The sequence below is a fragment of the Homo sapiens genome, chromosome Y (assembly GCF_000001405.40).
Source record: "Homo sapiens chromosome Y, GRCh38.p14 Primary Assembly".
Classification (NCBI taxonomy): Eukaryota; Metazoa; Chordata; class Mammalia; order Primates; family Hominidae; genus Homo; species Homo sapiens.
This window is the reverse complement of record NC_000024.10, coordinates 2,711,504-2,725,390: the sequence shown is the minus strand read 5'-3', so window position 1 is coordinate 2,725,390 and position 13,887 is coordinate 2,711,504. Positions and strand designations below refer to the sequence as shown.

The following is a 13,887-nucleotide window of genomic DNA, read 5'->3' as shown; positions in this document are numbered from 1 at the left end:
GTTCTTGCTCTGTCAAACAGGCTGGAGTGCAATGATGTAATCACAGCTCACTGCAATCTCAAACTCCTGGGCTCATGAGATCCTCCCACTTCAGCCTTCCGAGTAGCTGGGACTACAGGTGTGCACCACCATGCCTGGTTAATTACTGTGGTTTTATAGAATTGGGGTCTTGCTATGTTGCCCAGTCTGATCTCGAACTCCCAGCCTAAAGCAACCTGCCTGCTGCCTAGGCCTCCCAAAATGCTGGGATTACACGCATGAGCCACCACACTCAGCCTTTTTTTTTTTTTTTATGTTATTCCAGCAATAATTCTTTTTTTTTTGGCGGGGAGACAGAGTCTTGCTCTGTTGCCCAGGCTGGAGTGCAGTGGTGCGATCTCGGCTCACTGCAACCTCTGCGTCCCGGGTTCAAGCTATTCTCCTGCCTCAGCCTCCCAAGTAGCTGGGATTACAGGTGTGTGCCACCACCCCTGGCTAGTTTTTTTTTTTTTTTGAAATGCAGTCTTACTTTGTCACCCAGGCTGGAGTGCAGTGGCACGATTTCAGCTCACTGCAGCCTCTGCTTCCCGGGTTCAAGCAATTCTTGTGCCTCCCGAGTAGCTAGGACTACAGGTGCATGGCACACGCCCAGCTAATTTTTGTATTTTTTGTAGAGATGGGGTTTCACCATCTTGGCCAGGCTGGTCTCGAACTCCTGACCTCAAGTGATCCACCCACCTTGGCCTCCCGAAGTGCTAGGATTACAGGTGTGAGCCACCACACCTGGCCTAATTTTTGTATTTTTTGTAGAAAAGGGGTTTCACCATGTTGGCCAGGCTGGTTTCGAACTCTTGGCCTCAAGCAATCCTCCCGCCTCAGCCTCCCAGAGTTCTGGGATGACAGGCATGAGCCAGCGTGCCTGGCCATTGAAGAGATTATTCATTCCAAATGCCAGATGTGAGCTTCAGAGGACCCTTCTCCAGATAGAATCTTCTCCGCCCTCCACGACGGGGAAGGAGAATTGTCTGACTTTCAGCAAAAACACTGGCTCCAAACATGGCCTGTCGGTGGTGTGTTCACTCGGCCAGTTTTTAATATGTGCAGGACACAGTCATGTCATAGAAAGATTTTTCAAGCTTAACTACCCCTCCCTGATGAAGTGACATAGTAGACATTAACTCTCTAGAAGGCCAAGAACGATGGCCTGAGATAAACATGCCAGACATGTGTTTTCTTAGCTATTTTTTAAAAAATGACCTTGTAGTCCTAGGTGAGGGCTACAGATTACTACCTCTTCAAAGAAAGCCTAGAATTCAAGAACTGTACCCATAAAAATAATAAATACCTAAAACAAGGGTAGACTACCCACTTTTCCTCCCTTCCTTCCTTCCCTTCTTCCCTCCTTCCTTCCTTCTCTCCATCCCTCCTTCCTTCTTTCCTTCCCTCCTTCCCTTTTTTCTTCCTCCCTACTTCTCTGTTTCTCTTTCTTACCTCATTTTGTTTTCTTTACAGTTTTAAAAGGAATTCTGTCTGTCATTATTTTCTTGTCCCATCTAAGGGAAAAGGTTATGAAAAAGGAGACAGGAGATACATCACCGGCACTTCCATGGAGAACACAATGCCTGTTACAGCCAGGGTGGAAGCGATCCACATTCCCACCTCCCACCTGGTTACTGACGTTCTCAAGGGCCAAGCGCAACCGAGGATACTGCGTCACAAGCCTCTGATCGTTAGGGTGAGTGTAGGAGCTTTTGTAAACACAAGGACAAGGCGAAGCGTGATGTAGGGGTCGGGTCGCCAGCCAGGGCATCGTGGGCAGGTGACCAAACATAAAATCCGCGTCACGTGGGCACCCGGAGCAGGGCTGGTTTGCTGGGGGACCTCTGCAGCTACATCACTTGGGAGCACTTGGCACAGAACACCCGTGCCTCCTGCCAGTAGCTTTAGGAGGCCAATGCCAGTGCAGTCCGCCAGCTCTCAGACATTCTGCTTCCCCTTCTCAACACCACGTGGGAGAGACAAGAAGACAGAAGCCAGGTGCACCTACCCTCTTCCCCTTCTTTCCTGTGGCTGCCTCCACCATCACTGCCTCCTTTTCCTGCAAGACAAAAACAACGTCTGCAATGGGAAGGTTTGGGGTCAAGGAAAAATTCACAGCCAGGACCGTGAAGAGGCTGGGGTCCTGCTTCTTACACTCTACGGGGGTACATGTTACCCAGCTACAGAGCTGGGGTCCTGCCTATTACACTCTAAGGGTGCATGTTACACAGCTACAGAGCTGAGGTGCTGCCTGTTACACTCTAGGGGTACTCTGAGAACGCATACTCCCAGGCATTATCACTATTCTCAGGGCTTTAATATTCACATTCCTTAAATTACAGAAAACAGCCTAATAAAATGAAGCTGAAACAACACTAGTTATTTGCAAGAACACACAGGTGAACGGATGGGTGAGGAGGTGGTGACAAGGGCCCATTCATCACGCCCTGTCCCTCAGAAAAGTGGGGCAGCTGCCTGGGCCCTGAACTCTTCTCCGAGGACCGAACCTCTACGGGGCAGCCTTTACTTCCCACATCCTTGAAGCCTCAGCAAACAGGCGGAGTTCCCACAGAGATGGCTGAACATTTCACTGTGAGTTCACAGAGAGCTGACAGTTTAGACCCTGTAGTGATTCTACAGAGCAGGTGGGCATCATGGGATGGAGAGAGAAAAGAGACAGAAAACAAGATAACTGTACCTTCTCCACCTGAAACGCCATCCGCAAGGTCAGCATCTGAAAAGCTACCTAGGAAAGAAAATACAGCATCACCTGTCAACCTGGAACTCCTCCAAGGGTCTTCATGTCTTAGAATAAAGGAAAAACTCATGAAAACCGGCCTGTTCATCAACATGGTGAAACCCCATCTCCACTAAGAATATAAAAATTAGCTGGATGTGGTGACAGGCACATGTAATCCCAGCTACTCGGGAGGCTGAGGCAGGAGAATCACTTGAACCCTGGAGGTGGAGGTTGCAGTGAGCCAAGATGGCACCACTGCACTCCAGCCTGGGCAAGAAGAGCTAAACTCAGTCTCAAAACAAAACAAAACAAAAAACCATAAATAAAGTGGAAAAACGTGAGCATAATATTGCATGCTGGCAATATTTATGTCTGTAAATAAATGAAGAAGGCTTATAAATCAATAATGTCATATCAGAATGTAAGAATAAAAGGCAAAGCATACAATACACAAAATAAGAAGTATCCACGGCCAATTGATGCAGGTTTGTTTTTTTTTTTTAATTTTAAAAGTAAAGTCATGAAACCAGGAGAAAGTTGATAGAAAATTTCACACTATTTGCAAAGGTTTCCTAGGTGATAACTAATATTGGAGATGGTGTGAAGACAGGGACATTTGCACACACCCCTGGCATCAAAATAAATTGGTAAAAATCTGCAGCAAATTAACAACCAGGTCAAAAGCTACGAAAGTACTCATATACGTTGATCTAAACTATTTGAATGCTAGAAATGTCTTCAAAGGAATAAAAATAGCGCATGGAGTTGACTCAGATTTGCTTTGTTAATTCATAATTCTAAAATGCCAGAAGAAACATAACATTTTCAGAATTAGGGATTAGTTACAGGAAGAATATAATTATATATGTAGTATGTAATAGTACATGATTATCAGTAAAACTCATACGATAGAAATGATTACATGACATGAAAAAATGTTCATGGACTATCAGTAAGCAAAAAGTAATGTTACAATGCAGTACAAACAAAAGACTTGGAACTTTATTTAAAATTTATTTCATTTAGATTAATATATAGGCTGGGTGAGGTGACTCGTGCCTGTAATCTCAGAGATTTGGGATGCTGAGGCAAGAGGACTGCTTGAGGCCAGGAGTTTCAGACCAGCCTGGGCAACATACTGAGACCCCACCTCTACAAAAAATGAAAAAACTAACTGGTCACGATGCTGTGTGCCTGTAGCCCCAGCTACTTGAAAGGCTGAGGCAGGGGGATCTCTCTAGCCCAGGAGTTGGAGGCTGTGGTATGCTCTTATGTTTAATATGATCACAGCACTGTACTCTAGCCTGGACAACAGAGTGAGACCCTGTCTCAAAAAAGAAAAAAAAAAGATATATAAAATACTAGCACAAATAGCCATCAAAATGTCAACAAGATATGGACATCATTAATATTCTTCTGTGTTAAAAATTAAATATGTAAACAAAAAAACCTAAACATATAAACTTTCGACAACCATTCAGCTAAAAAAAAAAAACTGGTGCTATTCGAATTACGCTGAAAATGCTGTGATATGTCAGAAAAACTGACTTAAATATTTAAGGGCAGAAAGATTTAAAACACACTAGCTTCTCCACAAGGAATGTGTATGCCAATACTTTTCTCTTTATCAAGTCTACATTTAAATTATTGTATGCAATTTTTTAGAAGTTCCATAAGATGGAACTTGGAAACAAAAGTAGCAAACTAGTCCAGGCACAGTGGCTCACACCTGTCATCCCAGCACTTTTGGGAGGCCAAGGTGGGTGGATCACTTGAGGTCAGGAGTTCAAGACCAGCCTGGCCAACATGGCAAAACCCTGTCTCTACTAAAAATACAAAAATTAGCCGGGCATGGCAGTGTGTGCCTGTAATTCCAGCTACTCAGGAGGCTGATGCAGGAGAATCACTTGAACCCAGTAGGTGGAGGTTGCAGTGAGCCAAGATGGCACCACTGCACTCCAGCCTGGGTGACAGAACAAGACTCTGTCTCAAAAAAAAAAAAAAAAAAAAAAGCAAACTAAAAATAAAATCCAAGCTAAATATATATTTTTGAAATGTACATTTTCCATTACATGAACATGGGCATTACACTGCACAGGCAGTCAACAGTAAGCACACACTCATCTGAAATCACCTCCTCTCAGCTGACATAAATATCGCTGAATTCTGAACAACATGAAGACATCCCACAGGGTCAGAGACTCTTACCGGAGGAACTAGGGTGGTTGGGGTTTGGATTTGGCATCGGTTTGGGTGGGTTCGGTGGTCGTGGGTCGTCTGTTTGTGAAAGATGAGAGTTGCAATTTTAAGTGCCTTGCAGTAAAGAAAATGAAACATCAGTTTACACACAGATGGTTCCCTGAACAGAAATTGGACCTTGGCCTTTGTCCTGGTGGGGATACCTGTACACACACAGTCTCCTGCCAGTTTCCTCCCATCAACTTTCAGCCACAGTTCTTAATGTCAACTATGTTTAATAAAAATTAAAGCGGGTGTCCACACCAGCTACAGAATTTCTAGGGCCAAAATAAAAAGGTGGGACCCATTTTTCAAATTTTCTTAAGTATTCCAAGATGGCGGCAACAGAGCAGTAAACCAGTATGGTTCCCATGCCAAACCAACATGCCATGGGGTCCTGTGCCACTGCACAGGTCACATGCTGGTGAAGCCAGCCCTGGCCAGGGTAGGCACATTTGTCTCATGTCCTTCCAAAGACTGTAAGAGTTTTAAAATAAAAGCACACGTACTGGTTGTAAAGAAAAACCCAACGACAACAGCAAGAACAAACCGACACACCTATTCCCTAGGTTTCCACTGTGAAAACTGGTTCCCTTTATAATTTAAATGGGAGAATTCTCTCTGAAATGATCATAATTGGGTGATAATAAGCAGATCAGCAGCAGAAGAGATTAAAGGAAAATACTCACCATTTTCTCCATCAACAACAGCATCTCCTAAGTCAAAGTCATCCCCTAAAAGAGGGGAAAGAGCAGTTAATACCAAATTCCAGAGAGAAACGAGGAAGGAATGACCTCGTGAACAGATCAAAAACACACCACGGCCCCACATTCCTAAATACTTTTCTGAATATCAGCTTGACCAGGATCTCATTAGAAAAAGTGAATTCCTGACCATTTTTACATCACTATTCTCTCAGATAAAAAGAGGAAAAAACAGAGAGACAGAGACAGATAAAAAGCTAGGAGAGAAGCTCTCAGAGGAGAGGCAGTGGGGAGAGAGAGAGAGAAATAAAGTAATTTATAAATGAATTGTGTTGCCTGGACCAAGTTGAAATTCCAATTCTGCCTGCACATGATTTTCTCCTGTTGACTCCCCATCCCATCATCCTCTCCTCCCAGGTCCCTAACAACTTTGGAAAGGTAGACCCTAAGAGAAGGGGACAGATGACTGTGATCAGATTTAGGCTAGAGGGTGTCTAAAACATGGCTCTAGCAACCCATATGTGCTCCGCAACTGATGTGACAGTTCACCATGGCCTCAGATCTTGTCTTCTAGTATGAAGAATGATTTTGAAAACCCAACTAAGATGGAGGAATGGTTGCTGGCATCCACCCAACAGCATGTACTGAGCCATCCTGAGTGACATATGGGAATTTCCAGTCCCTTCCTCAAGGAGACTATGATAGTATAAATTCAGACGCTCAACACCTACTCATTGGTGCTATCTGCATGATTGCTTAGTTCAAGGATCTGGGGACACAGGGTCCCTTTGCTCATGAGCTGACACTCTAGACAGGAAGCCCAATAATGAAGTGGAGCTATTAATGTTTTATATTAGAAAACTCAGAAGTGCTAAGACAAGACAGTGTCTTAGCTGTAAGACACTGATGCCATAAGTTTTAGCATCATTTTTACTCTGTTTATCCGCCAGTGGGGTTGACCCTTGGGCAATTCCATCACGTGGACCTCGTTTCTGACTTTTGTTTGAAAGAACAGCATTGAGGGCTGGGTGTGGTGGCTCATGCCCGTAATCCCAGCACTTTGGGAGGCCAAGGCGCGTGGATCACAAGGTCAGGAGATCGAGACCATCCTGGCTAACATGGTGAAACCCCGTCTCTACTAAAAATACAAAAAAATTAGCTGGGCGTGGTGGCCGCTGCCTGTAGTCCCAGCTACTTGGGAGGCTGAGGCAGAAGAATGGTGTGAACCCAGGAAGCGGAGCTTGCAGTGAGCCGAGATTGCGCCACTGCACTCCAGCCTGGGCGACAGAGCGAGACTCCGTCTCAAAAAAAAAAAAAAAAAGAAAGAAAGAACAGCAAGCACTGAGAACAAATGAGGTGTGTGCCCACAGGTTGAGAGATGAGTTCACTTGTTGGTCATCATGGGGGAGATCTCAGCACCAAATGCTCTCTCTCCTAGGAAGTTGAAATCTAAAGACACAGGCCGTGCATGGTGGCTCACCGCTGTAATCCCAGCACTTTGGGAGGCAGATTGCCTGAAGTCAGGAGTTCAAGACCAGCCTGGCCGACATAGTGAAACCTCGTCTCGACTAAAAATACAACAATTAACCAGGTGTGGTGGCTGGTGCCTGCAGTCCCAGCTACTGAGGCATCTGAGGCAGGAGAATCACTGAACCCGGGAGGTGGAGGTTGCAGTGAGCCAAGATCACACCACTGCACTCCAGCCTGGGAGACAAGAATGAAACGCCATCTCAAAAAAAAAAAAAAAAAAAAAGGGAAGAAAATCTAAAGACAGAGTAACTCAGACCCTTAGAATAAAAGCACACAGAGATGTTGTCCAAATGGCCCCGAAACATTTCACATCAGCAACCATTCTTTTACTGGAATCACTACATGAAATGTAACATCATAACACAATTCCAGTATTAACTATTAACCAGACTCCAGCCGGAGCACTCAAATCACTTCTGTCTTCTTTCTAGTTGCCTAAGTCCCGTCCTGCTGTCCGAGAAAATGATTTGCTCTTTTTCTTTGCATACTAGGAAGAAGCCCTTCTCACCAGCACTGGGTTTCTTGGGGATTGCAGTGGGTTTCTTGTTTTCATTGTCTAAAGAGATAAGATATTTCAGTTAGTAAAAGTTGCAGCTGGGAAAACAAGTGTCAACTCTTTTGTGGTTAAGGATGTTTCATTTTCTTGGAAACAGTCGGAGAATGTTTTTAGCATTGTTTTTTCTCACCTGCCCACACCGAGCTGAGGTTTATACAACGACTCTTGAGCCCAGAAGACAGACACAGAGGCTGCTACCGGCCATGGTTTCCACAGAGACCAGGAGCCCCTTCTCCACTTCTTTTTTTTTTTTTTTTGAGACCAAGTCTTGCTCTGTTACCCAAGCTGGAGTGCAATGGTGTGGTCTCCGTTCACCACAACCTCTGCCTCCTGGGTTCAAGCGATTCTCCTGCCTCAGCCTCCCGAGTAGCTGGGCTTACAGGTGCATGCCATCACTCCCGGCTAATTTTTTGTATTTTTAGCAGAGATGGGGTTTCACCACGTTGGCCAGGTTGGTCTCGAACTCCTGACCTCAGGTGATCCACCCACCTCGTCCTCCCAAAGTGCTGGGATGACAGGCTTGAGCCACCGTGCCCAGCCCTTCTCCACTTCTTGACGTTGAATGGGACTATGACTGAGACATAAGCCAGGAAGGCAGGAGAATGGCAAAGTTAGGAGAAAAACTGCCCTTTTCAGAGCCCGAGATCTATGCATGAGAAGGAGAGACACCGGATTGATGGCTGAAAGGCTGTTCACATTTCTCATATGAAACACACTTTTGGCCCCGTCAGGCCTCTGCCTAGGCTGCCCCCTCTGAGAATGGAAGCCAATCAGGCAAATCAGGTGGAGGCTGTAAGACTAAGGGCACCTCCCACTGCAGGGAATGGTTGTTCCCAAGGGCCAAGAAGGGGTAGGTGGTCAGGAAAGAGATGATCCCCATCAGCACTGTTTCCGCTCAAACCATCTGCACTGCACCACAGGACATAAAATTAAAAGCTGGCGAGGTGCAGTGGCTCGTGTCTGCAATCCTCTCACGCCTCAGCACTTTGGGAGGCTGAGGTGGGAGGATTGCTCGAACCCACATGGTCAAGGCTGTAGTGAGACAAGATCCCACCGTGGCACTCCAATCTGAGCAACACAGTGAGACCCCGTGTTGCTCACTGTACCAGGTGAGGTGGCACATGCCTGTAGTCCCAGCTACTCAGCAGGCTGAGGTGGGAGGACTGCTTGAGCCCAGACGGTCAAGGCTGCAGTGAGCCAAGATCCCAACACTGCACTCCAACCTGAGCAACACAGCGAGACAGTGTCTCAGAAAAAAAAAAGTAAAACATAAAAAAGTGAAGAGGGTGGCTGGGCTCAGTGGCTCATGCCTGTCATCCCAGCACTTTGGGAGGCCAAGGCGGGCAGATCACAAGGTCAGGAGTTCGAAACCAGCCTGACCAACATTATGAAACCCCGTCTGTACTGAAAATACAAAAACTAGCTAGGCATGGTGGTGCATGCCTGTAATCCCAGTTACTCGGGAGGCAGAGGCAGGAGAATCACTTGAACCCGGGAGGCAGAGGTTGCAGTGAGCCGAGATCGTGCCACTGCACTCCAGCCTGGGTGACAGAGAGAGACTCCATCTCGGAAAAAAAAAAAAAAAAAATGAAGAGGGCTGTCCTGGGTTGAAAAGCATTCCTCCAAGATCCACACCCACCCCAAACCTCAATAGGTGATCTTACTTGGAAACAGGGTCTTTGCAGTTGTAATCAGTTAAGATGAGGTTATAATAGATTAGGATAGGTCCTAATGACTGGTGCCCTTATAGGAAGGAAATTTAGATACATGGAGACACAGGGAAGAGACCAGCGTTCACAAAGGCAGAGCCTACAGTGATGCAGCCACAAGCACAGGGACACGTGAAGCCCTCAAAAGCTGGGAGAAGCAGGAAGGATCCTCCCCTAGAGCCACCAAAAAGAACTGGATATAACTGCAGTGGATTGAGCAGTGGTCCCCGCAAAAGATATATCTACATCCTAAAGCCTAAAACCTGGTAATGAGACTTTATTTGGAAATAGGGTCTTTGCAGATGTGCTTAAGAGAAGGATCTTGAGATTAGATAATCCTGGAGTAGAGTGGCCCTAAACCCAATGACAAGTATCCTTGTAAGACAAAGAAAAGGAGACACAGACACAGAGGAGGAGGCCCCACGGAGAAGGAGGCAGAGACTGGAGTGATGCGGCCACAAGTCCAGGGACACCTGGAGCTCCCGGAAGCCGCAAGAGGCAGGAAGGACCCTCCCCTAGAGCCCCTAGAGGGAGCATGGGTCTGTCTACACCTTGATCTCAGACTTCTGTTGTCCAGGTCTGGAAGATGATAAATCCCTGTGGTTTAAGCCCCCAGTTGGTGGCACCTTTTTATGGCAGCCCCGGAAAACAAATACAAAGGGATGACAAGACCCAGAAGCTGATAGAGTGATAAGACGGAATTCCTTCAATTCCTTTTCCCATGCCCTTCACCGAGGGCTCTGGGTGAGGAGCGGGAGACAGGAAGAGCTGCAGAAGAAGGAAGGAGTGGCCCCATGGAGACAGCGGGTGCCGATTTCGAGAGGGAGGATGCCAGCACTGGATGCCCCTCTCTCCTGGGGACCTCCATTTGCTCACCTCCTCTAGACCCCTCCCCAAGGACCTGGCAAGTTTTTGCTCGGCCTCTGACCATCACAGGACTGTGAATTATTCCACCAGGGTGGTTCATTTATCTTAACAAGGGCATCTTGCTTTTCCTCGTCATCTATGAGTCTAGTTTTTATAATAAGGCAGGTGGACACATACAGGCGGACCTCCTTCACTGCACTTTGTCTTAAGGTGCTTTGCAAATACTGTGTGTTTTACAAACGGAAGGCCTGCAGCAACCCTGTGGCAAGCCAGACTCTCGGCATCATTTTTTCCAACAGCACGTGCCCCACTTCCTGTCTCTGTATCTGCATTTTTTAGCAATAAGGTATTTTCAATTGGAGTATACTGTTTTTAGAGGTAATGCTATTGCATACTTAATAGACTACAGTTGAGAGTAAACATAACATTTATATGTACTGGGAAGCCAAAAATTGCTATGACTCCTGTTATTGCGGTGGTCTAGAACCTAGCTGGAAATGGCTGGGATATGCCTGTATATACTATGTTAACATAAAATATTGACGGGATTTTAAAAAATGATGTTGATACTCACCAGGAAGGGCATCGGATAAATCGAAACCACCATCTAAGAGAGAAAAAAAGAGTCAACTTAGAAACAAGAAAAATAAAAATAAATTTGAATATTATAGAGATAAAAAAGATATGCGATTTTTCTTTTTGTGATATTTAAAACAGCAACTTAAAAAAATTTACAAGGTGCGTGATTTCTCTTCTCATTCTAAATATTCACTTCCATGCCTAAAAGTAAGAATATGTTAGCCTAGGTTTTAAATAAATGATGACCTTCAAGCTTAGTAGAAATTAAAATAGTGTAAAAACACGATCATTTTGTGTATTATTCTTAACAGGTCGTTCCTTTCAAACAGATGAATAACAATTTTGAATATGTACTGAAAACAACATGGGGAACAAAATTCTCCCTTTTTTATTGGCAACTTTCCTGTAATTACAAACCAAAATATAGTAGAAACACTAGACAACCCAGAAAGACACGTGCATTATGCATTAAAAAAAAATCTCATGGAATCCCACGGAATGAGGAAACTGGCATGCTGAATTATTGATAGGCTACCCTGTTTCTACAGTCTTTAATTACAACAATTTCAATGCTACTTCAACGTGGCTGGCCATCTCTGGCGCACTGAAGAAAAGCCAAATTCAGGAAAATTTGGAAAAGTCGACTTGGACTGTTTGGTCAACTGGAGGAAGAGTTAGGATAATCGTCAACATCCAGCGTCCCCACTCCTCAGCACCAAAGGCATACAACATCTCTCAACCGTCAGGAAGCACCTGGCGGTGGGTGGCGAGGGGTCCAAGAACAACCCGCAGGAGCCCTGTGAACACCGGAAGTGTGTCCAGTTCCACAACAGGTGCAAACGACCAGGCTATGCTCCTGCATGTATAAATGAAGCGTGCATGCATATGTCACAGGGGTATGTGTGTGTGAGTGTGCATGTATATTTGGGCATTTGCAGTGCACATGTATGTATTTGTGGGTTTTGTGTGCATGTATGGGGTGTGTAGGTGAGTTCTGTGTGTGCATATGTGTATGTGTTGTGGGTGCATATAGGCAGGTGCATGTATGTGTGGGTTTGTGTATGTGCATATGTGTAGGCGTGTTTTGTGTAAGTGTGGAGGTGTATTTTGTGGGTTTCTGTGTGTGTAGTGTGTTTTTTGTGTGCATATGTGTCAGTGCATGTTCATGTGGGTTTGTGTGTGCATATGTAGGTGTGCACAGTGTGTAGGTGTGTTTCTGTGTGCCTATGGATGCATGTATGTGTGGGTTCTGTATGCATGTGTGTAGGTGTTATGTGTGCATGTGTGTAGGTGCATGTATATGTGGGTTTGTGTGTGTATGTGTAGGCGGATGTAGTGTGTATATGTGTTTTTCATGTGCATGTGTGCATGTGTCAATATGTTTATGTGTGTAGGTGTGTTTGTGCATGTGTGGGTGTGTGCATTTGTGTGTTTGTGCCTGTGTGGGTGTGTGCATTTGTGGGTTTGTGTGTGTATGTGTAGGTGTGTGTAGTGTGCAGGTGTGTTTCCACGTGTGCATATGCATAGGTGCATGTATGCATGTGTTTGTGTGCACACATGTAGTTGTGTGCACGTGTGTGTATGGGTAGGTGAGTATAGTGTGAAGGTGTGTTTTGAGTATGTACATACAGGTAGGTGTGTCCACGTCTGCTTGTATGTCTGTGTGTGTGTGTACTCATGGCTGCGTGTGTGTTTCTGTGTGTGTCAACAATAAGTAGAAAGTAGACAAAACGCTCGGAACAGCTCTGTGGGCCCCATGCCGGCAACCAGAGTGGAGTCGTTTCCACAACCTCAGAGCCCTGAAATGGCTGTTTCCACAACAGGACACTTGCCAGACATCATAAATGCAATTACAGCTCCTCCTGCAGCATGCGGCAGATCTTTAGACGGTAGCAAGGGAGGATCCTACTGATCCAGAATAAACCATAAGGCAGGTACAGACACACGCACATATAAATATATATATGCACTCATGTTCATATGTTTCCATAGAAATCTGTAATTGTATTTTTTGAAGTATTTTTTTTCTTTATTTACATCTTACCTCGCCTATTTATTTGTGGTGCAAACAGTTCAAAGCTACTGTCTTAGGCATTTTCAAGTATGCAACGCATTCTTACTAACCACAGTCACCCTGAGTACAGTAGACCCCTGAACTTATCCCTTCCTATCTGATGGAAATGTTGTACCCTTTACCCATCATTTCCCCATTTCCCCCACCCCTCACTCCCAACCCCTTGGTCACCGCCATTCCACTCTGCTTCTGTGAGTTCAGTGGTTTTAGATTCCACGTAAGCGTGTTTGGGTCAGACGGTATTTGTCTTTCTGTGCTCGGCTTACTGCACTTAACATCATGTCCTCCAGTTCCATCCATGTTGTTGCAAATGGCAGGACTTCCTTCTTTTTTCTTTTTGAGACAGAGTCTCACTCTGTTGCCCAAGCTGGAGTGCGATGATCTTGGCTCACTACAACCTCCGCCTCCTGGGTTCAAGCAATTCTCCTGCCTCAGCCTCCTGAGTAGCTGGGACTATAGGCGCCCGCCCATCATGCCCAGCTAATTTTTTGTATTTTTACTAGAGACGGGGTTTCACCATGTTGGCCAGGCTGGTCTTGAACTCCTGACCTCAGGTGATCCACCTGCCTCAGCCTCCCAAAGTGCTAGGATGACAGGCATGAGCCACCGCACCCAGCCAACCTCCTTCTTTTTTAAAGCTGAATACCATTCCATTGTGAATATACCCTATTTTCTTTGTTCATTTAATAGCTTTATTGAGGCATAGTTTACATAGCATGAAAGGCACTTATTCTCACTGTGCAAATGAATGGCTTTTAGTGAATGTACAGAGTTGATATAGCACATTTTCTTTCTGCATTCATCCCTTGATGGGCTCTTCCATTGACTGCATGTCTTGGCTACTCCGAATGGTGCTGCAATAAACATGGGAG

The 13,887-nt window shown here is 45.4% G+C and overlaps 1 protein-coding gene across 7 annotated transcripts in view; it reads right to left on the bottom strand.

Annotated features, from left to right (window-relative positions):
• CD99 (CD99 molecule (Xg blood group)) overlaps positions 1–13,887 on the bottom strand; it is a 50,015-nt gene that overhangs the window by 15,919 nt on the left and 20,209 nt on the right. For 4 of the 7 annotated variants that reach the window (NR_135623.2, NM_002414.5, NM_001321368.2 and 1 more), the window contains exons 2-7: positions 10,937–10,969; positions 7,739–7,786; positions 5,686–5,730; positions 4,967–5,035; positions 2,717–2,764; positions 2,027–2,077 (exon numbers count right to left, since the gene is read on the bottom strand). Coding sequence is in view for 6 of the 7 variants with exons in the window: in NM_002414.5 (NP_002405.1) it covers positions 2,027–2,077; positions 2,717–2,764; positions 4,967–5,035; positions 5,686–5,730; positions 7,739–7,786; positions 10,937–10,969 (294 nt within the window). In the remaining variant the exon portion in view is untranslated. The remainder of the gene's footprint in view (positions 1–2,026; positions 2,078–2,716; positions 2,765–4,966; positions 5,036–5,685; positions 5,731–7,738; positions 7,787–10,936; positions 10,970–13,887) is intronic. The other 3 variants (NM_001122898.3, NM_001321369.2, NM_001321370.2) reach the window with 2 other exon arrangements.